Source organism: Homo sapiens, chromosome 3, assembly GCF_000001405.40.
Source record: "Homo sapiens chromosome 3, GRCh38.p14 Primary Assembly".
Lineage (NCBI taxonomy): Eukaryota > Metazoa > Chordata > Mammalia > Primates > Hominidae > Homo > Homo sapiens.
In genome coordinates this window covers 52424292-52450917 of record NC_000003.12, presented here as the reverse complement: position 1 = coordinate 52450917, position 26626 = coordinate 52424292, and the positions used below count along the sequence as shown (strand labels likewise).

Below are 26626 nucleotides of genomic sequence, written 5' to 3'. Positions count from 1 at the left end.
CCTGCTTGCTGCCCTCTATCACTCCTCAGGCCCAGGCACCATCTCTAGGGATTCAGCATCTGGAGTCTGTGGGGGCCTAGAACCCCCACAAGTTCCTGGGGGCCATCACTTTGGTCAACCACTGTGGCAGCCTAGGGGTCCTCTACTTGGAGAGAGTGGTTCACTGTGGTACACAGCCAGGCCCTTGGATGCTCCCTGGCACAGCAACCCCTGTTACCTCTCAGCCGTGGCTGGAATGGAGCTGAGCCTGTGGGGTCCCTGCAGGCTCACAGTGCTAGTCCACCCGCCCACTTGCTTGTATTTCCTGCCAGCAACATTGACTCCCAGGGACAGAGGGGCATGGAGTCGGCTCTATCTCCCCTCACCTGTTTGGCCCAGAGAGGTGCAGGGACCTGTCAAGGTCATCCAGTGAGTGTGGGGGAGAGCAGAGCCAACTGGCTTCCAGCCAAGGGCCCTGTCGGATGGGCCACATCCAAATGGACATGATTTCCAGTTCCCGTGAACCTCAGAGGCTCATCTCTTGTGGCCCAGTCTCTCTCCCTGGCAGGGATGGAGGCCCAAGGCCTGGCAGCTCTCAGCTTAGTGGGAGCACCCAGTCCAGAGCTGCCGCCAGACAGTGATGCTGTCTTGGAGGCGTGGGCGTTGGGGGCTGCAAGGAAGTGGAAGTGTCAGCAGAGGTGTTCGCAGGAGGGACAGCTGCCAGCAGCACCCAGGCTGTAGCCAGAATGCCGTCAGCTGACCTTGCCCCGCCCAGCCACTCCACTCTCTCTGCACCTGTGCCCCAGCCTTGGCATTCCCCAGACAGGCCTGGCATTCCAGAGATGGTCTTGGAATTCTAAAAATGCCTCTGATGGAGGCCAGCGCTAGCAAGAGCTTTCTGGTCCCTGGAGAGACCTGAGGGGAGCAGAGAGGAGTCCCTTCAGGCCTGCCCTTGTGAGCTGGAGAATTGGGGACCTCTACAGACACCCAGAGTGACCCAGGAAGGGTGACATCCGAGGATAAAAGGAAGCGCCACATCGGGCAGCACCAGCAGCCGGTGCACCACCCAGTGGTTCACTCACACACCCACCACGCGCACAGCACAGGGCTGGATCCTGGGGCATGTCACAGTGAGGCCCAGTCCCTAATCTGGTGGATTTTTTTTTTCTTTTTTTTTGAGACGGAGTCTCACTCTGTCACCCAGGCTGGAGTGCAGTGGTGCGATCTCAGCTCACTGCAAGCTCTGCCTCCCAGATTCACGCCATTCTCCTGCCTCAGCCTCCTGAGTAGCTGGGACTACAGGCGCCCGCCACCACACCCAGCTAATTTTTTGTATTTTTACTAGAGATGGGGTTTCACCGTGTTAGCCAGGATGGTCTCAATCTCCTGACCTCGTGATCCACCTGCCTCGGCCTTCCAAAGTGCTAGGATTACAGGCGTGAGCCACCGCGCCCGGCCTTTTTCTTTTTTTGAGACAGAGTCTCGCTGTGTCACCAGACTGGAGCGCAGTGGCACAATCTCGGCTCACTGTAACCCCTGCCTCCCAGGTTCAAGCGATCCTCGTGCCTCAGCCACCCAAGTAGCTGGGATTACAGGCACCTGCCACCACACCCGGCTAATATTTGTATTTTTAGTAGAGACAAGGTTTCACCATGTTTCCCAGGCTAGACTTGACCTCCTGAGCTCAAGTGATTCGCCCACCTTGGCCTCCCGAAGTGCTGGGATTACAGGTGTGAGCCACCGTGCCCGGCCTAATCTGGTGGAATTTTAAGGAGATGAGTACAGTGGGAAAGCCAGCGTGGGCTGGAGTGGGGACTGGAGGCATGGTGGGCCCATGAGTTACAGTGGTCTGGGAAAGCTCCCTAGAGGAGCTGACTCTGCATGAGATCTGGGGGAACCACAGGGAACCAGCCATGGGAGGCCATGGAGAAAGACTGGGAAGGTCTCAGGAGCAGAAAGGCAGTGTTGGGCTGGAAACCAAGCCCCAGCAGTCTTGGGAGACATGGGCAGTGCCAGGCCCCATGAGGACCCAGTCAATGTAAGGGGTGATGGCTGCAGAGGGCAAAAGGGGTGGGAGAGACGGAGCTAGGAGCTGGCCTGAAGTGGCGGCAGGCTTTGGGCAAGAAAGCCCGGTGGCTTCCAGTACAGTGGGGTGCTGGGGAGAGTGGGCAGGGGTACATGGATTCAAGGCACATTTTGGAACTAGAATGGACAGAGTTTGCTGAAGGCTTGAATGTGAAGGGTGAGAAATAAGAAAATCCAAAATGACCCTTAGCTTTTTGGCCAAACTGCCATTTCCTGAGATATGGAAGCTGGGAGGAGACACAGGTTCAGCCGTGGGGTATTGGGAAGTGGAGCTTACTTCCCAACACTAGGTTTTAGTGGGGTTTTTTGCTTTTTTTCTTTTCATTTTGAAATTCCAGGCTTGCAAAAATAGTACAAAGAACTCCCATTTACAGGTACCCTAGCTTCCCTAAATGTTAACATTTTAACCACAGAAGGATCAAACACAGGAAATGAATATTGACATAAACACTGCTAATTAATCTGCACAGCTTATTGAAGTTCTGTCAGTTGTCCTAAAGTCCTTGTCCTGGAGCAGGAACCAATCCAAGATGGCACTAACGTGACCTCGTCCTCCTGTCTCCTTACTCCCCACCAGCCTGTGACGGTCCTCAGTGTTTCCTCATCACCTCTGAAGAGCTGAGGCCAGTTATTCTGTAGAATCTCACTCACTTTGGGTTTGTCTGGTGGCCCCAGGGTTTGGGAACTTGCAGGCCCCCAGGCCTCAGCCGCCTGAGCAGGAGGGTTTCCGTGGAGCAGAGGGGTGGGAGCCTGACAGGAGTGAGCTGAAGTACAGGGGAGATGGTGGGTGTGGGCAACACCCAGGGAACAGAGAAAGGGACCCAAGCTGAGAAGCGATATGGGGTCCAGGGAAGCTCAGACAAGGGCCACGTGTGCTCGGGTTGAAGGGAGTGAGGATTGTCAGGAAGGGGCAGTGGGGGAAGGAGGGCTCTGCCACGTCCTGGCTCTCTTTTCATCAGCTGTGGTGGGGAGGGGGACAGGTCCTGGGACAGGAGGAGGAGATGAATGGCCCTGCTTGCAGATGGAAGCCCCAGAAGATACTGTAGGAGGGTTGGGGTGGGGCGGGAGGAGCTGTGAGGGATGGCTGATGGGAAGTGGGGGGGCTCACCCTCTGCAAGCAGCTGGAGGTCCGTGGGGGTGGAGGGGGCATGGCATTGTCCTAATATCCCTGTTCCATCCATGAAATTGGTGGGGAGGGGACTGGGGGCATCCATTCCTTCCAGGCATGCCCACCCCAGAATTCTGGCTGGGAGAGGCTGGGCTGTGACCCTCCACATATCCACCTGGTGGCACCTGCTGCATGAACACGCACTTCACATAGGTATCAGCCCAGCTCACCATCTCCCACCAGTACATGGCATTTTGTATCCTTCATGCATCACCTAGTTTTGCCTGTTTTGCTGCATCCTTTCCATTTCTGGGCTTTTGCTTGGATAGTGCTTCCTCCATGAAGCCTCCCTTGATTTCCTCCATCAAGAGCAATCACTGGAGCATCTTCCACTGCTCCTGCTTCTTTATATTGTGTTTGCCTGGTTACTGCTAGCGTCCTCAAGAGGCTGCTGTTTCTGCTGGGTGGCCCTGCTACCCCAACACAGGGCCTGACACAGCGAGTTTGGGGGCCTCCTGCAGTTCCTTCTTTGTCCACTAGATGACACACGATGCCCGTGTCTGGGCCCATTGATCCTCGAATTCGGAGCACCCTTGTGGTCTTTCCCACCTGCAGCTGGCAAGCAGGGGGGCCTTTAGAGACGATCCCTACCCTCTGCCCCCAGGCCTGGAAAACTGAAGCCCAGAGAAGGAGAGGACCTGACTGAGGCCACACACATTAACAGTAGAGTTCGGACTCCCAGCCTGCCACAGGCTCTTTCCGCAGTGTGGAGTAGGCTGCCCCCACACCCTTCCCCAGTCGACCCAGGCTTCCCTGCAGCCCCTGCTGGGTGTCTGGCTGAGCTGAGACCCCAGGATGGGCTGGCAGGCTGAGGAGTGTTGGGCCTCCTGCCCGCCGCTGGTGGTCACATGCTGGCTGAAGGGCTGCCTAGCTCAGTCTCCAGTTAGAAGTTGGCCCCAGCTTGGGCAGTGTGCTGGCCACACCTCCCCAGGGAAACAGAGACAGAAGCAGTCCACTCCAAGGTCCCAGGATATGGTCACCCTGACAGCAGCCCCTGCGCAAGCCCACTCATCAGGTTATGAAGGCTGCTTACACCCAGGGTGGCTGGTCCCTGGCCCTGGGAGGAAGAGGCAGACCCAGAGATGGAAGGGCCTTGGCCAAGGCTCTCCAGCAGGGCCAGAGGCAGGGCTGGGCTGAGCTCCATCACTGGCCTCTGTGGGCAGCCCCTTGCCCACCTCCAGGCCAGCCCCCTGCTGAAGAAGGCATGTGTGAGTGAAGGGAGCTGGGGACAGGGAGGCAGAGTTGTAGGTCTCTGAGACCTGTCATGCTGACCCAAGAAGCCAACCTGTTTCCATTTCAGGATTGAGGTAGGGGAGGAGGGTGGGGTCCCCATACTCCCAACAACGCCCAGAAGCAAAGGAGGGTCCCAGGAAGGGGCAGAGCTGAGCTGGACCCATTCTCAGCCTGCTCTGTGGCCTGGGCCAGGTCCTTCCCTCTCTGAGTGCCCCGCAAGTTCCCTGACCACCATCAGAGGGCCCAGGCCGGTCCATGTGGGAGGCCCAACCTGCAGGAGCTGTTAGAATCCTGGGAACTCAAACTCCAGCTCAAAATTAAAATCTCTTTAGTGCCCAGGGCCTCAGGTTCTGAGTGTAGGGTTCTGGGGTGGGGTGAGGTGGCGACTGTTCTGGGGCAGGGAGCATGGGGAGGTCCCGTCACTCACCCCAGATTCAGGCCCTCAGTCCCATTTCCCCTTTGGCCCTCTTCTGTGGCTTTCTGTGCCCCCCGCCACCCAGTCAGTATTCAGGGTGGGGGAAGTGACCTCTAAGAGATCATAGGTGTCTGTAGGGCCTATGGGGCATGGGGTCCCTGGGAAGAACCATCACTGACCTGGGGAAGCTCTGGACCCTGAGTCTCTGGAAGGACTGGAGGCCTGAGGGAGGCAGGGCAAGGGGAGGTTCCCTCGGCATGGAGTCCCCTGATGCCCCTGTCCCCTACCCCAAAGCAAGCCTGGTGAGCTGAGATGGGGCATGTAGATGTGGGGAGAGGCTGGGGTGCCTGGAAGCCAGATGGGGACAGGCCTGGGTGGAAGAGGCTGGGCAGTCATCTCTTGCTGGCTCTATGAAGTGTTGCCGGACCTCAAACACCTGTCTAGGACATGGCGCCCCTTGGGCTGGGAATGGCCCTCCACCCTTACCCAGGGGAGCTGGAGAGTCTGGCCAAAGCTTCAGGGGGCTGGAATATCCTGGAATTGGGGCAGGGCCAGTTTGGAAGGTCTCTGCTGTGGGCAGTGGAGGGGCAGAGAACAAGGCAGAGCCCAGCTAGGCCCCTACCCAGCCCATCAACTTTAACCTCTGATCCCTGACCTCCCTTCCAGGCTCTCTCCCCACTTGTCACTTTGCTGGAGCCTGGGGACCTGCATTTGTGGACATCTCTGTACACATGGCCTGTGCCCTAGCTGGGAAGGTCTTCCCAATGGGGAGCTGGCCAGTGTGGCACAAAAGCCTGCACTGGGCCAACAAGGTGGAAGGAGAAGCGGCAGGTGGACGGCAAGGCCCCAGCCTCCTTCTCTCCTCCGCCCCTCTTCCCGCCCAGGACTGGGTGGAGCCACTGCCTTATAAGTGGTGGCCTGGTGGCAGCAGAGCAAACTACAACCGGCGGCCAGCGGGACCAGAGGGCGGCTCTGCAGGCAGGCGGCAGCGGTGCCCTCAGTTCCCCAGCATGGCCCCCTCGGCCTGGGCCATTTGCTGGCTGCTAGGGGGCCTCCTGCTCCATGGGGGTAGCTCTGGCCCCAGCCCCGGCCCCAGTGTGCCCCGCCTGCGGCTCTCCTACCGAGGTACCAGCCCCTGCGTGCCCTGTTTGTGTGCATGTGCCCTGTTTGTGTGTGTGCGCTCTGTTTGGGTGCATGTGCCGTGTTTGTGTGCATGTGCCCTGTTTGGGTGCGTGTGCCGTGTTTGTGTGCATGTGCAGTGTTTGTGTGCGTGTGCCGAGTTTGTGTGCGTGTGCCGAGTTTGCGTGTGCCGTGTTTGTGTGCGTGTGCCGAGTTTGTGTGCGTGTGCCGAGTTTGCGTGTGCCGTGTTTGTGTGCGTGTGCCCTGTTTGTGTGCGTGTGCCCTGTTTGGGTGCATGTGCCGTGTTTGTGTGCGTGTGCCCTGTTTGGGTGCGTGTGCAGTGTTTGTGTGCGTGTGCCGAGTTTGTGTGCGTGTGCCCTGTTTGGGTGCGTGTGCCGAGTTTGTGTGCGTGTGCCATGTTTGTGTGCGTGTGCCCTGTTTGGGTGCGTGTGCCCTGTTTGTGTGCGTGTGCCCTGTTTGGGTGGCTTGGGCTCTTGGGTGCCTGGTCAGCTGTAGGGGAGGGAGCCTCTCCCTGCACAGCTCTCGGGGAGTGGGAGGGAGGCAGGTCCTGGGAGACAGGACCAGGGTGGCGGTGGGAGGCACCTGAGGGGGAGTGCTGAGAAAGGGACAGATGGAGACCCTGAGAGAGCTCAATAAAGATGGGGAGGAGACAGAGGAAGGGACCAGGCAGGGGAGAGTGACAGAGAGGGTGGGGCTGAAGGGTCTGTCTGGGCTCAACTGGCACTTTTTGCCCAGGGTGGCCAACGGGAGAGCAGGCAGCATGCTATCCCTTGGTCCTGGGGCCACAGAGAAGGGGAGGACCCCCCTTGCAGCCCACTTCCCAGAGTGGGCTTGTTCATGTGCTCCTGCACCCAAGAAGCGCCCCAGCCCAGGGGGAGTTTCACCTCCCCTTTTTGCACATCCCAGCCTGGGGGTTCCTGTGTTCTACCCTAGACATGTGAGCCGGCTCAGGCCTCCACGGATGGGCCCAGGGAAGGCCCGAGACAGGCTCTTGGCAGATCCTTCCTGAGGAAACCAGAGGGGTGACCACCTTCCCCTGGGAAGCCCAGTCTGCTGGGGGAGATGGCGCTCGTCCCTGGAGAGGCTGAGGGGAATGTGGTCTTGTTCCGGGAGCTGTGGTTTTGCGGGGAGGTCAGACTGCTAGAAAAAGCCCCAAATAGGGAAAGTTCCCCAAGGTACTGTCATCCATGGAGGGCTTCCCGGAAGAGACCGTTGATGAGTTTTGGGGGTGGAATGGGTGTTGGGTAGAGGTGCTTCCGTAGGGAAGGCATAGGACACTCTGGGCCTTCCCAAAGGTGGCCAGCACCCTCTTCCTGCCACATCCTACTGCCCCCATTACCTCCACCTCCCTAGCCAAGCCCGGAGGACCTACCTCAGGATCCTCAACTCCTGGGACCGATGTCCCCAGACAGCTCCCCGCTCTCATCTCTGGGGTGGGATAGCCAGCATCTGTGGGGAGAAAATTGTCTTTGGCCGCATCCCTGGACTGGAGGTGGGAGCCCTTCCCGGCCATACCTTCCCTTTTCTGCACCCAGGCCATTGCCAGGGGTCCCCTCTGCTGGGAACAGTTTCGCCTGCTGGCCCACCCTCCAGCTGAGCCAGGCGGCCTGCAAAGACTCCCGCCCTTCCTCCAGGATCTTCCAGCACTTTGCTCTAGTTTCTGCTGGTTGGGGCCTTCTTCCCTGGGGACTGGGTAGGGCACAGATGGGACAGTGGGAAGATGTTAGCTGCATGATGAAGGGCTAAGGAATGGAGGGGTGGGAGGTAGGCCCCAGGGTAGGCTGGGCCAGGTGGGAGGCTCTGAGCCTCCCGTCCCACCTGTCCCCAGGAGCCATGGTCCGAAAGCCTTCCAGCACCATGTGGATGGAAACATTTTCCAGATGTGAGTGTGTCAGGGGTGGATGCTCAGCCGGGGCCTCCACCTCCACTCCTTGGCTGGGGAACTAGGCTGAGCTGTGGCCCTGATCTGCCTCCCCATACATCCTCCTAGACCTCCTGTCTGCCAACCGCTCTGCCATCTTTCTGGGCCCCCAGGGCTCCCTGAACCTCCAGGCCATGTACCTAGATGAGTACCGAGACCGCCTCTTTCTGGGTGGCCTGGACGCCCTCTACTCTCTGCGGCTGGACCAGGCATGGCCAGATCCCCGGGAGGTGAGCTGGACTGGCAGGGAAGAGGGTCTGTTTGAGAACTGGGCACCTCCAGATGGGAGGCCAGATGGGGAAACTGAGCCTGTGAGATCAGGGGAGGACCTGAGGTCAGCGGGGCTGTGTTCCAGGTCCTGTGGCCACCGCAGCCAGGACAGAGGGAGGAGTGTGTTCGAAAGGGAAGAGATCCTTTGGTGAGTGCTGTCGGGAGGGATGGTCCCCCGACCTGACACCCTGCCCTGACCCCCAGGACAATCCGTGACCACGCCCCAGGTACCTCTACCAGGGGCATTTGGAGCAGATCTTGAGGGCTTTTGAAGGTCTGCTGGGAATGTCACACCCACCCCCCTCCCCAGAGCTGACCGCCAGACAGGGCTGAGCCTTGGGCCCCAAGGAGATGGTGGGCACCCCCTCTCACCCCTCAACCACCCCCTCCTTCTCCCCGCAGACAGAGTGCGCCAACTTCGTGCGGGTGCTACAGCCTCACAACCGGACCCACCTGCTAGCCTGTGGCACTGGGGCCTTCCAGCCCACCTGTGCCCTCATCACAGTTGGCCACCGTGGGGAGGTGAGCCTGGGCCAGGCCCCACAAGGGACTGGGAGGCAGTGACATTTCCTCCCTGCTGCCTGAACATTCCCATTGAGCCTGGGTAGGGACAGAGGGGCAGGGGCCTGAAAGGCGCCTTTGTGTTGGGGAGCTGACCCCATTAGAGGGGCCCTGGATGAGGACGCCTTCCGCCCACCCCCGCTCTCTGGCCGCACGCGAGGGCTCCTGCTTGGGTGTGGGCTGCTGGTGCTTCTCTCCCAGGTGACGCCCCTCCCTCCCTCTCTCCCTCCCACTAGCATGTGCTCCACCTGGAGCCTGGCAGTGTGGAAAGTGGCCGGGGGCGGTGCCCTCACGAGCCCAGCCGTCCCTTTGCCAGCACCTTCATAGGTGGGTGATGCCCAGGCCAGGGTGAGAACAGGGAGGGTGGCAGCTGGCCTATGTCACTGGGAAGGGAGGGACCCGGCTGCTGGGCCTGGGCCTCCTCCCCTGACTCTGTTCCCCAACCCCCACCCCAGACGGGGAGCTGTACACGGGTCTCACTGCTGACTTCCTGGGGCGAGAGGCCATGATCTTCCGAAGTGGAGGTCCTCGGCCAGCTCTGCGTTCCGACTCTGACCAGAGTCTCTTGCACGGTGAGGCCTGCCCCTGGAACTGGCAGGGGTGAAGAGGCTACCTTCCCAGCTAGGACACCAGCCTCCAGTGGGAGTCCCCTGCCCCATTCCTCTCCCCACTGGGTTCTACTCCCATCCTCCCCTGTGGGGCCCCTCCACCCAGCATGACCCTGTCACCCTTCCAGACCCCCGGTTTGTGATGGCCGCCCGGATCCCTGAGAACTCTGACCAGGACAATGACAAGGTGTACTTCTTCTTCTCGGAGACGGTCCCCTCGCCCGATGGTGGCTCGAACCATGTCACTGTCAGCCGCGTGGGCCGCGTCTGCGTGGTAAGAGCTGGGAAGGGGTGGTGAGGTTCAAGTCCCTGCTACACCCTCCCATTCCCAGACCTTTCTCCCCCCACCCCTGGCCAGCAGTAGGGAAACTGAGGCAAGGATGCAAAGCTGACATGCATACCTCTCCCCGAGTGGGTGAGGGTAGAAGAGTGGATGGTGGGACCCATCCTCGTGGGGCCCAAGCGTGACTCTGGCCCCTTATCCTGCAGAATGATGCTGGGGGCCAGCGGGTGCTGGTGAACAAATGGAGCACTTTCCTCAAGGCCAGGCTGGTCTGCTCGGTGCCCGGCCCTGGTGGTGCCGAGACCCACTTTGACCAGCTAGGTGAGGGCCTGGCCAAGCAGGCCTAGGGCTCGGGAGTGGGGAGGGCTGAGAGCTGGTGAGTCAGGGCATTGGCGGTGGCCATGACACTCATACTCCTTTCTCTACCCCAGAGGATGTGTTCCTGCTGTGGCCCAAGGCCGGGAAGAGCCTCGAGGTGTACGCGCTGTTCAGCACCGTCAGGTGGGCACACCCAGCACCCCGGCCTTGCGATGGGCCCCTGTCTTTGTCCCTGATTCGGTGACCTGTGACTGTACTCTCTGACTCTCTCTTTGCCTTTGCCTTGGGGTCTTTGCTTTTCGGAGTCTCTGCTTGCTGCAGGCACTGTCACCCTCTGTCCTGCCCATGGAACCAGGCTGTTCCCTTCTTGTCCTTGATGGCCACTCTGGCCTGACTGTCCCATGTGCCCCGGCAGTGCCGTGTTCCAGGGCTTCGCCGTCTGTGTGTACCACATGGCAGACATCTGGGAGGTTTTCAACGGGCCCTTTGCCCACCGAGATGGGCCTCAGCACCAGTGGGGGCCCTATGGGGGCAAGGTGCCCTTCCCTCGCCCTGGCGTGGTGAGTATCTGCTGGGGCCAGGCCAGGGAAGCGAGGCCTGAGCAGATGTGGGGAAGGGCTCCTTGGAGTGGCCTCATGTCCCCATGCACCCCCACGGCAGCGGACGTTGGCCAAGCCTGGGCTCCAGAGGGCCTGGGTGGGGTGGGGTGGGTGTAGTGGAAGAGGAGAGCCCTCCTGCAGTGAGAGAGGTCCCCCTGGTTGGGGTGGAAACAGACTGGCGGTGGAGGGTGTGTGCTGTCTCAGGATACTTCAGGCACTCCCTTCCCTGCTGCCCACAGTGCCCCAGCAAGATGACCGCACAGCCAGGACGGCCTTTTGGCAGCACCAAGGACTACCCAGATGAGGTGCTGCAGTTTGCCCGAGCCCACCCCCTCATGTTCTGGCCTGTGCGGCCTCGACATGGCCGCCCTGTCCTTGTCAAGACCCACCTGGCCCAGCAGCTACACCAGATCGTGGTGGACCGCGTGGAGGCAGAGGATGGGACCTACGATGTCATTTTCCTGGGGACTGGTAGGACAGCTGAGCCAGGGTGGCCAGGCTGGAGAGGGGTGTGGGGTCTCTGGCTGTCCCCTCCTGTCCCGCTGACCCCTCCTCCCTGGCCCCAGACTCAGGGTCTGTGCTCAAAGTCATCGCTCTCCAGGCAGGGGGCTCAGCTGAACCTGAGGAAGTGGTTCTGGAGGAGCTCCAGGTGTTTAAGGTAAGCAAGGGGCTGATGGAAGGGTCCCTCCAAGCCCCATCTCTGGGTCTGAGCCTGGCTACAGGGATGCAGGAGCAAGCCCAGTAGGGAGCCAGCCTGTCTTTACTGAATTTGCAGCTGGCAGGATGCTGGGGAGGGGATGCAGAAAGAGATGCCCCCCCTCCACCCCGCACCTCCGCTGTGGCAGAGGCCTCGCAGCCACTTATGAATGACTGGAGGCCCAGAGCTACAGCCTGTGAGCTGAAAGTGCCTGGGGTGCTGGGAGGGATGGTCAAGGGAAGCAACCTTCTGCAAACCCCTGTAGGACTCAAGTTGCAAGGAGGAGATGGTTGAGATCCCAAGGCCCCTAGATGTTCTCTTGGCCCCTCTAGAGACTCAGGAAGGGGGTCATCTGTGTTTGGGGGCCTGTTGTGCCTCCTGGACCTGAGCTGGGTAATTTGGGACAGCTGCCTCATTGCTGGGGAACAGGCTGAGAGAGGGGACACTCTAGCTCTGTGCTTTCAGTCAAGCCTCCTGCTTGGAGGCCAGCCATGACCAGGGGGCCTTTCTTGTAACCCATCGTCTGGGAAAGACTGTCTAGCCTTAGCTGCCAGGGAGTGCAAGACCCAGCCTGGGAGCTAGGTGGTTCCCACCCCAGGGTTGGAGGAGACTGAAAGCAGGGGTGCAGGGGCAGGTCTTGGTCCACCCGACCCACACTGAGACCCTTCTCCTTCCCCAGGTGCCAACACCTATCACCGAAATGGAGATCTCTGTCAAAAGGGTAAGAACAGCTGCCACCCTCCTCTTGGACCCCCCTTCTGCCCCTGCTCCGCAGCCTCCTCCTCTGCCCCTGCTCCGCAGCCTCCTCGAGCTCCACTGTAGTCTGGGGAAAGCTGTGCTGAGGCAGGCCTGATTCGCCCCTGCAACAAGTGGCCAGTGGGCACTGGAGGCACCGAGTAAGTGGGGCCATGTCCAGATAAGGGGATAGTCACAAAGGCCAGTTCCTAAGGGAGGCAAAAGTGTGCCTGAAAACACAAAATCCAGATGTTAAGTCCAACAAGGCCACTTTTTAGAGGCCTACTATATTTGCCAAGTGGCAAAACCCGTCTCCCCATATTTATCTGCTCCAGTGTATCTTTGTGTAAATCCTAACTTTCGTGCAAGGGTTGCTTAAAGCAAGGTGCACCTCTAAGGTCAGGGACAACTCAGGATAAAGGCCCCTGGGATAGAGGGCAAAGGTCAGCACCTGGGAGGGCCTGGAGAAGCCCCTTAGAGAAAACATCCCAGGTCTTGGTTCTCCTCCATCCCTTCTGTGTCCTGGCACAGAATCTGGTATGCAGCAGATGGGTGATAAACACTTTTTGTTTTTTGAATGAATCCAAGAGGTTCTGGAAGACTTCCTGCAAGTGGCAGGGGTCTCAGGAAGCTGAGGGGCTGAGAGCCTGGCTGCGTGTGGGCGAAGCCTGGGCTCACCTCAGGCTCTGCTTCTGTCCCTCCCCAGCAAATGCTATACGTGGGCTCTCGGCTGGGTGTGGCCCAGCTGCGGCTGCACCAATGTGAGACTTACGGCACTGCCTGTGCAGAGTGCTGCCTGGCCCGGGACCCATACTGTGCCTGGGATGGTGCCTCCTGTACCCACTACCGCCCCAGCCTTGGCAAGCGCCGGTTCCGCCGGCAGGACATCCGGCACGGCAACCCTGCCCTGCAGTGCCTGGGCCAGAGCCAGGAAGGTGAGTGGTGGCAGGTGGGAGGGCCCAGACTGGGCTGGAACTCACCCCTGTGGCCCGGCTCCACCCCTGCGAAGTGCATTCTCAGATTGGTCTTGTCATGACGGATAGTCCTCAGTTTCCCTCTCTGTGTAGCTCCTGCTAGTGCATGGAAGCAGGGTCTTTGGACACAGTGGCTGGCTTGGGGATCCACGCATGCCTAAGTTCTTGTCATACTAGTGGGGCTCCTGAGCTGTGGTGTCAGGTGGTGGCACTGGGATCTGGGTCCCATAGTTCCCAAGCTGAGCCAACCTCTGCCTCTCTCCAGAAGAGGCAGTGGGACTTGTGGCAGCCACCATGGTCTACGGCACGGAGCACAATAGCACCTTCCTGGAGTGCCTGCCCAAGTCTCCCCAGGCTGCTGTGCGCTGGCTCTTGCAGAGGCCAGGGGATGAGGGGCCTGACCAGGTGAGTGAGGAGACCCCTGCCTCTAGCCTCTGTGTGTCCTGAGGTCACCTCCCATCCTGAACCCCAAGACCTGAGCCCCAGAAAGGGGTTCTGGGGGGAATCTGCCAAGATTAACCTAAAAAAAGTTTGTATTAGGCTCCTGGGGTGCCTAGAAGGAGGTGCCCTATTTTTGCCTTTTGGGAATGCCCAGGCCAGATGTGGCTGGAACTCCCCCAGTCTGAGGGGTGGGTGATGGAAGAGAGAGAAGAGGGTCTGGGCAGGCCAGTAAGTCTCCCATGTTTACACACATGGCTCATCTTTGAAGGATTCTCTTCTCCAGGGGTTCTTGGTTCTCTTCTGCCCCAGGCAGGGGAGGGGGCTGTGCCCTGGGCCCAGGACTAGGCTTCAGAACCTCCCTATGCTACACACACACAACAGAAGAGAACCTTCTGGGTCCCTAACCACTGGTCCTTGCCCTCCACCCTCAAAGCCTGGCCCCACACTTCCTCCCTGGAGTCCAGCTGTCTGCTCAGGGCCTCTCCTCCCCCATCCGGAAAGGTCTATCAACCCCAGGGATGGTTTAAGTCTGGGGCCTGAGGATGGGCATTGGCCGGGGCAGGGAAGGGGAGGGGCAGGAGTGGATTGATTACAGGAGGGGCTCTCCCTCCAGCCTGGGAACTGGGGGAGGCCAGCCTTGGGCCAGCTGTTGGGCTGGGCACTGAGAAGATTCCCCAGGGGAGGAGGGGAGCAACAAGATGGTGTTTCACAACACTAGCTAATGGCTCAAGCAATCCACCCCCAACACACAGATGTGCAGACTAAAACCCACACAGGGTCCAGGCCAGAGGCGGGCTGGGATCAGGGCGGCACTCCCACTTCCCACGCTGTGATGGGCGATCAGCCCACCCTGGGCTGGGGCTGTCAGCTCGCACCGTTGGGGGAATGAACGGTTCAGACCAGGATGGGAAGGCCCTGTGTGTGTCTCTGTGTGTGTGTGCGTGCACGTGCATGTGTGCGTGGGCACACGCACATTGTATGTGTGTAGCATAGGGAGTTTCTGAAGCCCAGTTCTGGGCCAGGGGGCACAGCCCCTCCCTTGAGAAAAGCCTGTAGATGGGATGGTACCTCCAGAAGGGCTAAGGGGATAACATCTTAGCCCCTATGTTCCTTGGGAATGTGTGCCAGGGCCCTCTGAGGCCAAGATTGGAGTCCTCTGACTAAGGGAGAAACCAGCCAGTCAAATCCTTGAGAAGGCCCCTTCCTGGGCTATGGGAAGGTGAGGCCCCACCTGAATTAGCTGGTGGTCTAGAGGAGGCCCAGACTGCCACGCTGCTGGTCCCCTCCTGGGAAGGGGAGAATAGGGCAAGAAGTGCCCAGGCACTGGGCCCCAAGGATGGCAGAAAAGCTGGGGCAGAGAAGCCGATGGTAAACTCCCACCTTGCACCCTACTCACGCCCTCCCGCCCGCATGGCAGGTGAAGACGGACGAGCGAGTCTTGCACACGGAGCGGGGGCTGCTGTTCCGCAGGCTTAGCCGTTTCGATGCGGGCACCTACACCTGCACCACTCTGGAGCATGGCTTCTCCCAGACTGTGGTCCGCCTGGCTCTGGTGGTGATTGTGGCCTCACAGCTGGACAACCTGTTCCCTCCGGAGCCAAAGCCAGAGGAGCCCCCAGCCCGGGGAGGCCTGGCTTCCACCCCACCCAAGGCCTGGTACAAGGACATCCTGCAGCTCATTGGCTTCGCCAACCTGCCCCGGGTGGATGAGTACTGTGAGCGCGTGTGGTGCAGGGGCACCACGGAATGCTCAGGCTGCTTCCGGAGCCGGAGCCGGGGCAAGCAGGCCAGGGGCAAGAGCTGGGCAGGGCTGGAGCTAGGCAAGAAGATGAAGAGCCGGGTGCATGCCGAGCACAATCGGACGCCCCGGGAGGTGGAGGCCACGTAGAAGGGGGCAGAGGAGGGGTGGTCAGGATGGGCTGGGGGGCCCACTAGCAGCCCCCAGCATCTCCCACCCACCCAGCTAGGGCAGAGGGGTCAGGATGTCTGTTTGCCTCTTAGAGACAGGTGTCTCTGCCCCCACACCGCTACTGGGGTCTAATGGAGGGGCTGGGTTCTTGAAGCCTGTTCCCTGCCCTTCTCTGTGCTCTTAGACCCAGCTGGAGCCAGCACCCTCTGGCTGCTGGCAGCCCCAAGGGATCTGCCATTTGTTCTCAGAGATGGCCTGGCTTCCGCAACACATTTCCGGGTGTGCCCAGAGGCAAGAGGGTTGGGTGGTTCTTTCCCAGCCTACAGAACAATGGCCATTCTGAGTGACCCTCAGAGTGGGTGTGTGGGTGCGTCTAGGGGGTATCCCGGTAGGGGGCCTGCAGGGAGCCAGAGGGTGGAAATGGCCTCTAAGCTAGCACCCCGTAAGAAGAGCCTACCTGACCGACTTGGGGAGGGAACACAGAGGTGTTGGGAAGGTGGAGCAACAATGCACCTCCCCTCCTGTCGCGCCGTGATATCTTGGTGGCTCCCTGCCACTGCCCACCGCCTCTTCTCCATCTGAGAATCACGGAGAGGTGTAGATAATCTAGAGGCATAGACTGCTAGAGCCCCCAGGGATCTGGGGTGGTCAGGGCTCAGGCTTCACTTTGTAAACCAGGTGGGGGCATCTCACAGCCTGACTTCCCTTCCCCAGGCCAGGGTTGCTGGGATGCCTGCCCCTCCTGAGAGGACCCCCTCCCCATTGTCAGGCTCTCCATGTCCACGAGCGGGGAGGGGTGGGTTCTGGGGCATTGTTGTCCCTTGTGTCTGTGGACTAGAGATAGGGTGGGGGAGCTGGGGAAGGGTGCAGGCGGGAAGAGTGGGCTGTCTTTCCCAGGGTGATGCAAGCATGCCGCAGCCCTGGAGGCTGGGAATGTGGAGGCTCTGTGAGCCCTGCAGCCCTCAGAATCAGGGCCAGGGATGCAGAAGATTGAGAGGATATGGAGATGGATAGAGGGCAGGAGACCCTTAGGATAGATTGTGGGACCCAGGCAGGAACAGGTGTCCACAAGAACTCAGGATGGCATCAGTTAGCTCAGAAGCCACCTGGAAGACCCAGTGTTTCCATCTCTGGAATCTCTGTTTTATGCTAAATGGATTTAGGAAGACTGTTTTTCTTTTAAGGGGGAAACAAGGTAGAGAAAAGGACGAAGAAGTGTAAGTCCCGCTGATTCTCGGGGGTAAGGCTCGGATGGCAAGGACGCGTTCTGCCTGGGCATGTAGGGGAGGTGTTTTTGCCATCACCAGTTTCTCAGGCTGGGGAGCACAGAGGGGAGGAGGAGGACTAAATGAAAAGTTGTTCCCAGCCTGCACATGAACACATTCATGACACACAAAACTGGCTGGAAGGAGATAAGAGCACTGGGTTTGAGATTCCCTCCATTAAAACAACCAAGACAAAGAAAGGAGGGGAAAAAAAGATAAAAAGCAAGCCAGGGTTCCCTGCCCTATTGAAACTCAAACCCAGACTGCCTTGGGTTTTATCTTTCCCTTACCCCTGGCACCTCCAGAGAACTGGGACCTGAAATAGTCCCTCCGTTCTCCCCTTTGACCATGTAATAAATGAACCAGAAGCACTGAGATTAACCTATCAACGCCCTGAGAAGCCTTCCAGCCTGCGGTGCTGTCTGCTGGGAGGTCAGCTGGTCAAGGCAGAGGAGGAGAGGAGGAAAGGATGGGGGCTGAAGAGCAGAAGGGAGGGGAGACAGAGGGGATTAAAGAGGGGAGGAGAGAGTGCAGAGCTCCAGGAAAGGGTATCAGAGCTGCAGCCAGCTCTGCCCTCTACCCTAGGGAGGCCAGAAAGACACAAACAGCCCTCCGGGCCTTTACGCTGGACTCTGGCTTGGCAGGCTCCAGGCAGGGTCCTCTGGGAAGTTACTCTAGAAAACGAAGGGAGGAGGAGCACAAGATCCTCAGCAACGAACACCTGCACTTAGAAAAAGTGGACAGCTTCTGCCAACCACACCCTACCCATGGTACTGTATGCTATTAACTCCTGGAAACGCCCCGTAAATGCGAGTTGTTTTTGTATTTGTGTGTTGAGATGGGCCTTGTGGTTTCTCTGTACTCAGAGCACATTTCTTGTAATTACTATTGTTATTTTTATTGTCATGACTGCCCCTGAGCTCTGGTGAGAAAAGCTGAATTTACAAGGAAAGGGATGAAGTTAATATTTGCATCACATAATTATATCATTACTGTGTATCTGTGTATTGTACTAAATGGACTGATGCTGCGCACATGAGCTGAAAATGAAGAGCCCTCCCATCCATTCCATGAGAAAGAAGGTCACCCTGAGTGACTTCTGTTTCATGATTTCCCAAACAGGTTTTAGAGCTGGAAAAGGACTTAAAGAAAGAGACTGGGTGGTGCTTTCTAGAAAGGAGGAAGATGGGTATCAGGGGAAGGAAGGAGTTAGAGGGCTTTGTACAAAGCCGAGATTGCTCATTAAATGAGGAACATCCTGGCCTGTGGGCTTGTAAGACTGACCTTCTTGGGACTTCAGGAGGATCTTGAACTAAAAGAAAAAAAAAAAACACTGGCAAAGGGCAGCTGGGCCCGTAGGCAGCTCTGCTCCTTTTTCACAACAACACTTGACATTTGTCACAGTGACACTTGGCATGGTTCCTGCCTTCATCCCAAGCCACATACCAATGGATATTAAGTCCTCATGGCTGGGGGACTGGGGCTGTGCTGTGGGGACTGTGGCTTCTGGAAAGGAGGGGAGGCCCCGAACATCTGACCTATTGGGCACACTGCAGGAGGTCCGTCTGGGCATGGCTCCCACTCCCCACTGACATCAACACCTCAGCCCAAAGAGCAGAATCCACTGATGCTAGAGGAAGATGGAAGGGTCATAACCCCACCTTCCCAGGGAGACTTCCCTGGGCCTCTTGCCTGAACAGGCCCCTCGATCCATGCTGTAGACTAGGGGTCTTAACAGGTCAGTCATAAGTCTCATCTTGCAGTCTGGGCCCTGGAGCTGGCCTTTCCTTTTGTTCCTTGCCCCCTCCACGATCACTTAGGCCTGACAGAACCTGAAACCCTGTCACCCCACCCCAGGAAGCATCATCACCTCTGACTGAGAAGTGTCACCAGGGCACCCACCTGGCACAGTGTGCTGGGCTGGGAAGGGTGTGCGAAGGCGGCCTCCAGAGCCCCCTTCTTCCCTCTTGCATCACTCTCCCAAGGGTGGTCCGGAAGACCCCTCTGGACCAGACCCCTTCCTGGTCCACACCACCTCCCCCTCCCATCTCAAGCCCTATTTCCTGCCTCAGCGATTTCAGCCTCTCTCTGTTGTCTTGTCACAGCTCTTTCCTCTGCGTCTAATGCTTCCTCTGCTCTTTGGGACTCTGTTCCATGACTTCCCAAACAGGTTTAGAGCTGGAAAGGGGCCTAGAGAATGAGACTGGCCCAGTGGTTCCAAGAGATAACTATAATCCCACGGGACCCTCCATGATCTCGTGGTCCCCGTGTTCTGCCCCTTTGGCCCTGACAGAGCTGAAATGCTGCCTGCTGGCTTGCCCTGTGAAGGCCCTGAGAAGTCCTGTGATGATCTCTTGCTAATGTGCATGCCTACTATGTGCTATGTGCTTTTCCAAAACATTTGGTTCTCTCTTTTTTTTTTTCCCATGGAGCAGCTAACATCTCATGTTTCTAACATTTTGAAGAACACACTTTGGAAAAATGTTGATTAGGTTAATTCCCTCCCTTAACATGTGAGCTTGATTAATTAGTAATTGCCTTCCCAGCTTGTAGGCTCTGGAAGCCCCAGCCTCCTGATGAATAGCCATATCTTGGTTTCCTATGACCCTCGCCAGAGTAGACTCTGCTACCCCGGGACAGGGCTGCCAAGCGGCCAATCTGCTGCCCTTTGGGCCTGGACTGTGCTCTGTTCCCGGCTCTCGTGCTCCCATAACCAGCCTATTTCTGGCCCCTCCTGTGTCTGTCATGGTCCTCTGTGGAGGGCTAGCATTCACCCCTAGTCTGTGGCTGTCCTTCCATCCAACAGACTCGTTTCTAAGAAGGTGAGGGGCAGGAAGGAGTCAGAATAAGAGAGGAAAACAGCAGTTTCCACTTTCTCAAATGACTCCTGGGCTTTTCTTTCATTGGCTAAGCTTGGGGTCAGGTCCTAGACAGCCCTAGAATCCCCTGCTTGGAGGAATGGTCAGGTAGCAGCCCCCAAGAACCTGGTGTACCTCCAGCCAGCCTGTCCTCTTTGTGGGCTGGCAGGGGGTCCAGCTGCAGCTCCAGCCAGTTGGGCCCCAGAAGACTGGCTCACATGCCTCTGGAAATCCAGCAAACAGAGGCACCTCTGGCCAACCACATCTTAGAGCTAGGGGGTAGTTGCTCAGAAATAGCCCAATTTCCATCCCAGTTAAGGTCCCATCCCAGCCTCACCTAAGTCTTGGATTGCAGTGGGTTCTACAAGAATAAAGTTCAACACACACCAGGAACAAATTCCCAGGGTCTTCTAAGACTCTAAACTCGGAAAGAGGGACAGTGGGTAGGGCTAGGTTTGGACACAATATCTGATAAGGTTGCCAGGCACGATGGCTCACACCTGCAATGCCATCACTTTCAGAGGCCGAGGCAGGTGGATCACCTGAGGTCAGGAGTTCGAGACCAGCCTGGCCAACATGGTGAAACCCCTTCTCTACTAAAAATACAAAAATTAGCTGGTGGCACACACCTGTAATCCCAGCTACTCAGGAGACTGAGGCACGAGAATCATTTGAACCCGGGAGGTAGAGGTTACAGCGAGCTGAGATCACGCCACTGTACTCCAACCTGGGCAACAGAGCAAGACTCTGTCTCAATAAATAAATAAATAGATAAAAATCTGATAAGGTGCCTGGGAATTGTTGGGCCGCACCCTGGCTCTCCTTCCGTACTCAGCCATCCCTCGGATGTACAGGAGACGAGGCAAGGCAGCTGTGGCCCTGTGCCCGTTCCCACTGCCCAGTCCCTGGCCACCTTTGCTGGGGGTACCACTACTGGGCCCCTCTCCCTTAGAGACTGCATCCTAATGAAGCCTTTCACTTTCCTTGCTGGACTTCCATTAAGGAAACTCCTGGTTCCTCATGAAGCCTTTAAAAAAATTACTCTCCACTGAGGATGAGGGCTGCTGCAAAGTCTCCAGGGAGGCGGTGTAAGGGATATGGGGCTGTCTTTGGGCCAGGCCTCCAGCAGCTAGCTAATAGCCTGCACGCAGGGACACTGCTGATGGGAGGACTCAGCTGACCAGTCTTGACCTCTTTACCCCGGAGAGTATGATGACCAGAGTACCCCCTAATCCACCCAAAAGGGCCTGTTTCACTGCTGTGAGGAATGACCAGGGCAAAGGGACAGTTGCAGACTGATAGGATTCCAAAGTGACTCAACAGAGGCCTGGAACAGAGTCCAGGTGTCTACCACCAAATAGAGGGGACTGGACTCTGGACACATGAAGCCCAGATTGATGGAGGGCGAGCGGGCTCTGCTCTCACAGATGAAGGCATGGGGAATGACGTGGCACACCAGCCACTTGCTCTGTGGACATGATCTCATCTGTTCACCCCCCCACTCCTGCCCCCAACTGATAAGAATCTGGTGATGTTTCCTGTAGTCCAAGGGTCTCAGACAATGGTGTGAACGGCTGGCCCTACTGGAAAGGACATTGTTCAGGGAAGAAAAAACAACACACCAGCACAAAGCCAGGGCAGGACCTGCTGAAATGTAAGGGCCTGTTTACAAACCCATGATTTCTAAGGGGAAGAACACAATGGAGAATTGTTTTGGCGAGGCTGGTGTCTCCTCCAGTAGGCTCCTGGGGGCTGGGGATGGCTTTGATGGTCCAGACAGGTCTCAGATGCTCTGAAAAGGATGGATACTAATGGCGCGGATGCCTTCCTGTTTATTAGGGGTGTGTGCAGGGCAGGGTCAAGAAGCCAGTTTACACCAAAGACAAGGGGAAGGGGCTCCTGGGGCTTACCCCTTCCATCTGGACCTCATGCTGTCATGTTGCTCAGGGATCCCAGGGTTAGAGCAGGTTTGCTAGGGAGAAGTGAGGGCAAGGGTTTTTTGTTTTGGGAAAAAAATCAGTTCTTCAGTTTTTCTGTCATTTTTTGGAAAAATGTACAAGCCATGACACCTTTGCAAATAGCCAGCTCCTTTGGAATGGAGCTCCCTGGCTTAGTCACTAGGGAGACTTCTCACACCTGGGGGCCCCCATGATGCTGTGACTGGGAGCACATGGGAAACTGATGCTGTCTCCCTGGGGTCAGGGCCAGTGGAGGTGCTGCTTCTCATAGCATCCTCCCACCCTGCCCATAGAGGCTAGAGCCTTTGAGCCACCGTTTGAGCCACCACCCAGAGGTCCTGATGGCAGTGAGTGTGCATTCGTGTGGACAGGTACCTGTGCATGTGTGCATGTGGGAGGAGGGTGGGGCAGAAAAGGAATAGAACCATATCACACATTCCCCCTTGGGACTGGCAGTCGCCATTTTTGGTGGAGGAGAGGGCATCTGGATGCCTCTCAATGAGTAATTGGGAGATATTTTTGGTGGGTTAGGAGAGCCACTTTGGGTCTGGAGAGACTATGAAGGCAGTCTTGTCTAAGGATTTGACCTGTGACGGGGAGCTTTCAAACTCATCTCTAACCCCAACAGGAACGTGCCTCATGAATAAACTCGAACAGATGTGTTTAGAACAATTGAGGCGCAATAAGTCTTATGTAATCCCAAAACAGAAGCAAGATTTTCATAAGCCTTTCCCAGCCTTCCAGGTCTGAGGGTTTATAATCTTCATCGACATGCTAACAGTGCCCTCTGGTGTTTGGCAGCAAAACACAGGCTTATGAATACAGGGTATGGAGCATCCATCAGTTCTGTAGACATTAAACTGCCTCTGAACGTGGAGTCCTGGGCCAGGCATCATGAGGGGAAGAAAGGTTAATAAGACAGACAGGTCCCTGGAGCTTCTGATCTAGCAGGAAAGACAGACCCATAACTGTAGGACAGACAGAGAATGACATGGGCTATAACAGGGGGTACAAACAGAGACAGTAAGAGTGCCTAGAGATGAAGAAGTAGCCCTTAGGCTGTGTTTAACAGGCTGAAGATGGATGCCAGGACTCTCCAGGCTGAGCACCCCAGGCCCGGGCCCAGTGTTCTGAGGCAGCCAGAGAAGAAGGCCTGTGGGTGGGATGTCCTGGGAGATGCAGCTATGGAAGGCCCTGTTTGTAGAAGGTCTTGAATGCCAATCTCAGCAGGGCCATCCTGAGCAAAGAGTTAGCACATGTTTTATGGTAACTGGCAGAAGGGAAAAGGGTGGATGTGTCAGAGAAGCAAGTGGACACAGGAAACCATGCAGACTTTTGCTGCCCATCCTATGAGGCATCAAGGTCTGAGCTGAGCACTGACAATGGGAAGGAGAGGAAGGCAAACATTTGAAAAACAGTCGAACTGACAACAAAGAGGTTGGCTGAACAGAGAGGGAAGCTGAAGGAAAATCTGAGGTTTCTGGCCTTAGTTTACGGTTCCCGTAAAGGTAATGATTAGAGGAAGGGGAGCAGGTGCTTTGGGAAAGTTTTATTTAACATCTATTTCTACTATCCCTAAGTGAACTGATTTGTCCCAGCTCCTAAGTTATGAAACAGTAATTAATTCTAATAAGACACATCAGTTATGAAAATAGGTATTAAAAATTTTAAACATGTGTTTGTCATGAAACAGGCATTTAAAAGAAGATGAGCTTGGGGCATCTTGCAGTGTCAGAAAGTAAAAAAGTGCTCAAAAACAAAACAAAACAAAACCAGACACACAGTGATGGGGATGTGTGAAAAGGACACATGAACACCCAGTGGCCAAAGCAATTTGAGCAACAAAATAAAGTATTATTACATTGTAACCCAAAGTCCAGGAGTCCATACTAAATGATTGAATAGGCTGTGCATGGTGGCTCACGCCTGTAATCCCAGCATTTTGGGGGGCCGAGGTGGGTGGATCACCTGAAGTCAGGAGTTCGAGACCAGCCTGACCAACCTGGTGAACCCCTTCTCTACTAAAAATACAAAATGCCAGGCATGGTGGCGCATGCCTGTAATCCCAGCTACTTGGGAGGCTGAGGCAGGAGAATCACTTGAAACCGGGAGGCAGAGGTTGCAGTGAGCTAAGATCGCACCACTGCACTCCAGCCTGGGCAACAAGAGCGAAACTCCGTCTCAAAAAAAAAAAAAAAAAAAGATTGGCTAAATAAATAAGCAGGAGAGAATAAAATAGGTAAATCTCCCATGCAGAACCATTCCAAATAATTTATGTAGATACTCCATCCTCAAGGAGGAGTTGCATAAAAACCTCTACTTAACTGTGGGCTCCACATAGTGACTTCCCTTTGGAAGGTACAGTATGAAAAGAGGAAAAGCCTGGGTGCGGTGGCTCACACCTGTAACCCCAGCACTTTGGTAGGCTGAGGTGGGTGGATCTCGAGGTCAGGAGTTCGAGACCAGCCTGGCCAACATGGTGAAACCCCATCTCTACTAAAAAAAAATTAGCTGGTGTGGTGGTGCACACCTGTAATCCCAGCTACTTAGGAGGCTGAGGCAGGAGAATTGCTTGAACCCGGGAGGCGGAGGTTGCAGTGAGCCAAGATTGTACCACTGCATTCCCACCTGGGCAACAGAGTACAACTCCATCTAAAAAAAAAAAAAAAAGAAAAAGAAAGAAAAGAAAAGGGGGAAAAAGGGTAACTTTACAGTGGAGAAATCTGACAAAACCTACCTCAGCCAAATGATCAAAGTCAACCTCAACAGTGACAGGTCATGCTGATACTATGTAACTTTGATATGATGTGATGAAAATGGCACTTCTCCTGTGTCTTCCTCCAAAACCCATAACCCCAGTCTAATCATGAGAAAAACATCAGAACAATCCCAGTTAAGAGACACTCTGCAAAATACTTGACCAGTACTCCTCAGAAGTGTCAAGGTCTTCAGAATCAAGGGAAGTCTGCCATTCCATCACAGCCAAGAGGAACCGAAGGAGATACGACACAGTGCAATGTGGTATCCTGGAACAGAAAAGACAAGAAAATCTCAATAAAATTTGGGCTTTAGTTAATAATGATGTATCAATATTCGTTCTTTAATTGTGACAAATTTGCTATACTAATGTGTTAATAGTAGGAGAAATTAGGTTTGGGATATATGGGGACTCTATACTATCTTTACAATGTTTCTGTAAGTCTAAAACTATTCTAAATTAAAAGCTTATTTAAGAAAGAAGCTGGCTGGGTGTGGTGGCTCACACCTGTAATTTCAGCACTTTAGGAGGCCAAGGTGGGCAGATCCCTTGAGCCCAGGAGTTCAAGACCAGCCTTGGCAACATGGTGAAACCTCATCTCTTAAAAAAAAATAAAAAAAATTAGCCAGGCATGGTGGTGCATGCCTATAGTCTTAGCTACTTGGAAGGCTCAGGTGGGAGGATTACCTGAGCCCAGGGAGGTCGGGGCAGTGAGCCATGATCATGCCACTGAACAGAGTGAGACCCTGACTCAAAAAAAAAAAAAAAAAGGGGCTGGGTGCAGTGGCTCACGCTTGTAATCCCAGCACTTTGGGCGGCCGAGGCAGTCAGGAGTTCGAGACCAGCCTGACCAGCTTGGTGAAACCCCGTCTCTACTGAAAATACAAAATTAGCCTGGCATGGTGGTGCGTGCCTATAATCCCAGCTACTCAGGAGGCTGAGGAAGGAGAGAATCACTTGAACCCGGGAGGTGGAGGTTGCAGTGAGCCGAGATCGCACCACTGCACTCCCGCCTGGGCAACAGAGTGAGACTCCCTCTCAAAAAAAAAAAAAAAAAAAAAAAAGAAAGAAAGAAAGAAAGAAAAAGAAAAGCAAAAAGAGGCCAGGCGTGGTGGCTCACACCTGGATTCTCAGCACTTTGGGAGACTGAGGTGGGTGGATCACGAGGTCAAAGAGACTCTGTCTCAAAAAAAAAAAAAAAAAAAAAAAAAAAAAGAAGCCAGTTATTTAGTGGAGAATGACTGATTAGGCCCAGATGAAGAATAGAACATTTCAAAGTTGGACTTTCCAGCCTATAAAAATAGGGTTGGCTATTAACATCAGTGGAGACTAAAAATACAAAGAGTAAGAAATAGTTAATAGCTGTGTGTGTGTGTGTGTGTGTGTGTGTGTGTGTATGCATGCACTGTCGTGTTAGCTAAGCAAGTATCCACAAAGTCAACTGTACACAGAGGTAGGGCAGCTGACATCTAGGTGACAAAAACTGCCCCCTCCCAAGCTCCCTTTCTACCCACTGAAGCTAAAGTCGAGAGGGCACTGTTAGGGGCCATTACTCTCAGTTAAGATAGTGTTTCTCACACTTGGGTATACAAATAGACTCCTTAAGAAAAGATATTAATACTACCACAGATCCCTAAAAATATGCCTGGTGACCCAAGTTACAGAAACTCTAGGTTTAGAACTAAAGTCTTAATCTAAGGAGCATCTTTCAGTTGTGAATTATCACTGCAAGAGTTGAATCTTTAGAATGGGTTAAATATTGTGTTTTATATGAAAGCTCACAATTAAAAAATGTTCCTGTTACTTGCAGAGCTCTGACAAAATTTCCCTGGACGCCCGGATAAGCAAGGATAGCATTGGGTGGTCAAACCCAAGAGAAAGGAAATGAAGAAAAAGGGCATAATTGTGGGAAGCCCTAGGAGGACAGCTGTGCAGGAGCTCTAGGAGCAGCCAGCACTGGAGGCGGCGGCTCTGGGAGGCAGGTCTTCAGGAAAAGAAGTCCAGCTGATAGTGATCTGATGCCTGGTCTATGAGGAAAATTGCATTTTGAGACATTTTGTTGATCATTTGCAACATTTCAGAAGAATTAGCAATAGGTATATACCAAAAAAGAAGCAATTATTAATTTCAGAAAAAAACATTGTACAAAAGAGGAAAGGTAATCATAGTGTACTGCCTGGCTCAGTGGTAAACAGTATTTCTAGCATCATAATAATATAAACATTGAAAGTTAACAAAAATTGTGATACAATTATCTGAGGTGAACGAAAACGGGAAGATTATGTTTTTTTAATTTAATTTTGAGACAGCGTTTTGCTCTGTTACCCAGGCTGGAGAGCAGTGGCGCGATCTCAGCTAACTGCAACCTCCACCTCCCGGACTGAAACGATTCTCCTGCCTCAGCCTCCCAAGTATCTGGGATTATAGGCACCCACCACCGTGCCCGGTTAA

At 55.5% G+C, this 26626-nt stretch overlaps 1 protein-coding gene across 2 annotated transcripts, besides 7 other annotated features; it reads left to right on the top strand.

Annotated features, from left to right (window-relative positions):
* Window positions 611-905: a silencer, noted in NCBI's record as "tiled region #2927; K562 Repressive non-DNase unmatched - State 7:EnhWF". NCBI's record gives its function as "represses a minimal TATA promoter and a strong SV40 promoter by Sharpr-MPRA in K562 cells {active_cell/tissue: K562}" and the evidence as "EXISTENCE:reporter gene assay evidence [ECO:0000049][PMID:27701403]".
* Window positions 4965-5841: an enhancer, noted in NCBI's record as "H3K27ac-H3K4me1 hESC enhancer chr3:52479093-52479969 (GRCh37/hg19 assembly coordinates)". NCBI's record gives its function as "activates a minimal SCP1, AML or CMV promoter by ChIP-STARR-seq in naive H9 embryonic stem cells {active_cell/tissue: H9 hESC(naive)}" and the evidence as "EXISTENCE:reporter gene assay evidence [ECO:0000049][PMID:30033119]".
* On the top strand, window positions 5815-17883 carry SEMA3G (semaphorin 3G). Of its 2 annotated transcripts, XM_024453642.2 has the most exons (17): window positions 5815-6005; window positions 7849-7902; window positions 8011-8171; window positions 8297-8359; window positions 8614-8733; window positions 9009-9099; window positions 9228-9344; window positions 9509-9654; window positions 9870-9984; window positions 10095-10164; window positions 10397-10541; window positions 10820-11051; window positions 11147-11238; window positions 11957-11998; window positions 12719-12947; window positions 13252-13391; window positions 14845-17883. In XM_024453642.2, the coding sequence occupies exons 1-17, from the start codon at window positions 5891-5893 to the stop codon at window positions 15313-15315; spliced, it is 2403 nt and encodes an 800-aa protein (XP_024309410.1). In that variant the 5' UTR covers window positions 5815-5890; the 3' UTR covers window positions 15316-17883. The 2 variants fall into 2 exon arrangements, with proteins under 2 accessions (XP_024309410.1, NP_064548.1); NM_020163.3 differs by lacking the exon at window positions 7849-7902.
* Window positions 5842-6718: an enhancer, noted in NCBI's record as "H3K27ac-H3K4me1 hESC enhancer chr3:52478216-52479092 (GRCh37/hg19 assembly coordinates)". NCBI's record gives its function as "activates a minimal SCP1, AML or CMV promoter by ChIP-STARR-seq in naive H9 embryonic stem cells {active_cell/tissue: H9 hESC(naive)}" and the evidence as "EXISTENCE:reporter gene assay evidence [ECO:0000049][PMID:30033119]".
* Window positions 12846-13351: an enhancer, noted in NCBI's record as "H3K4me1 hESC enhancer chr3:52471583-52472088 (GRCh37/hg19 assembly coordinates)". NCBI's record gives its function as "activates a minimal SCP1, AML or CMV promoter by ChIP-STARR-seq in primed H9 embryonic stem cells {active_cell/tissue: H9 hESC(primed)}" and the evidence as "EXISTENCE:reporter gene assay evidence [ECO:0000049][PMID:30033119]".
* Window positions 19803-22952: an enhancer, noted in NCBI's record as "VISTA enhancer hs2179". NCBI's record gives its function as "enhancer in: blood vessels[5/7]" and the evidence as "EXISTENCE:transgenic organism evidence [ECO:0001131][PMID:17130149]".
* Window positions 20785-20945: a silencer, noted in NCBI's record as "fragment chr3:52463989-52464149 (GRCh37/hg19 assembly coordinates)". NCBI's record gives its function as "represses an EF-1alpha promoter that drives an FKBP-Casp9 reporter gene in an ReSE screen in phorbol 12-myristate 13-acetate-treated (for megakaryocytic differentiation) K562 erythroleukemia cells {active_cell/tissue: K562(+PMA)}" and the evidence as "EXISTENCE:reporter gene assay evidence [ECO:0000049][PMID:32094911]".
* Window positions 22125-22224: an enhancer, noted in NCBI's record as "active region_19942". NCBI's record gives its function as "activates an Ori minimal core promoter by ATAC-STARR-seq in GM12878 lymphoblastoid cells {active_cell/tissue: GM12878}" and the evidence as "EXISTENCE:reporter gene assay evidence [ECO:0000049][PMID:35858748]".

Excerpts from the sequence above, each read along its gene's own strand:
- SEMA3G (XM_024453642.2), top strand. The coding sequence starts at position 5,891 with ATGGCCCCCTCGGCCTGGGCCATTTGCTGGCTGCTAGGGGGCCTCCTG. Across the intron at positions 8,172-8,296 it reads CATGGCCAGATCCCCGGGAG|GTCCTGTGGCCACCGCAGCC; the intron begins GTGAGCTGGACT and ends GCTGTGTTCCAG. Across the intron at positions 10,542-10,819 it reads CCTTCCCTCGCCCTGGCGTG|TGCCCCAGCAAGATGACCGC; the intron begins GTGAGTATCTGC and ends TGCTGCCCACAG.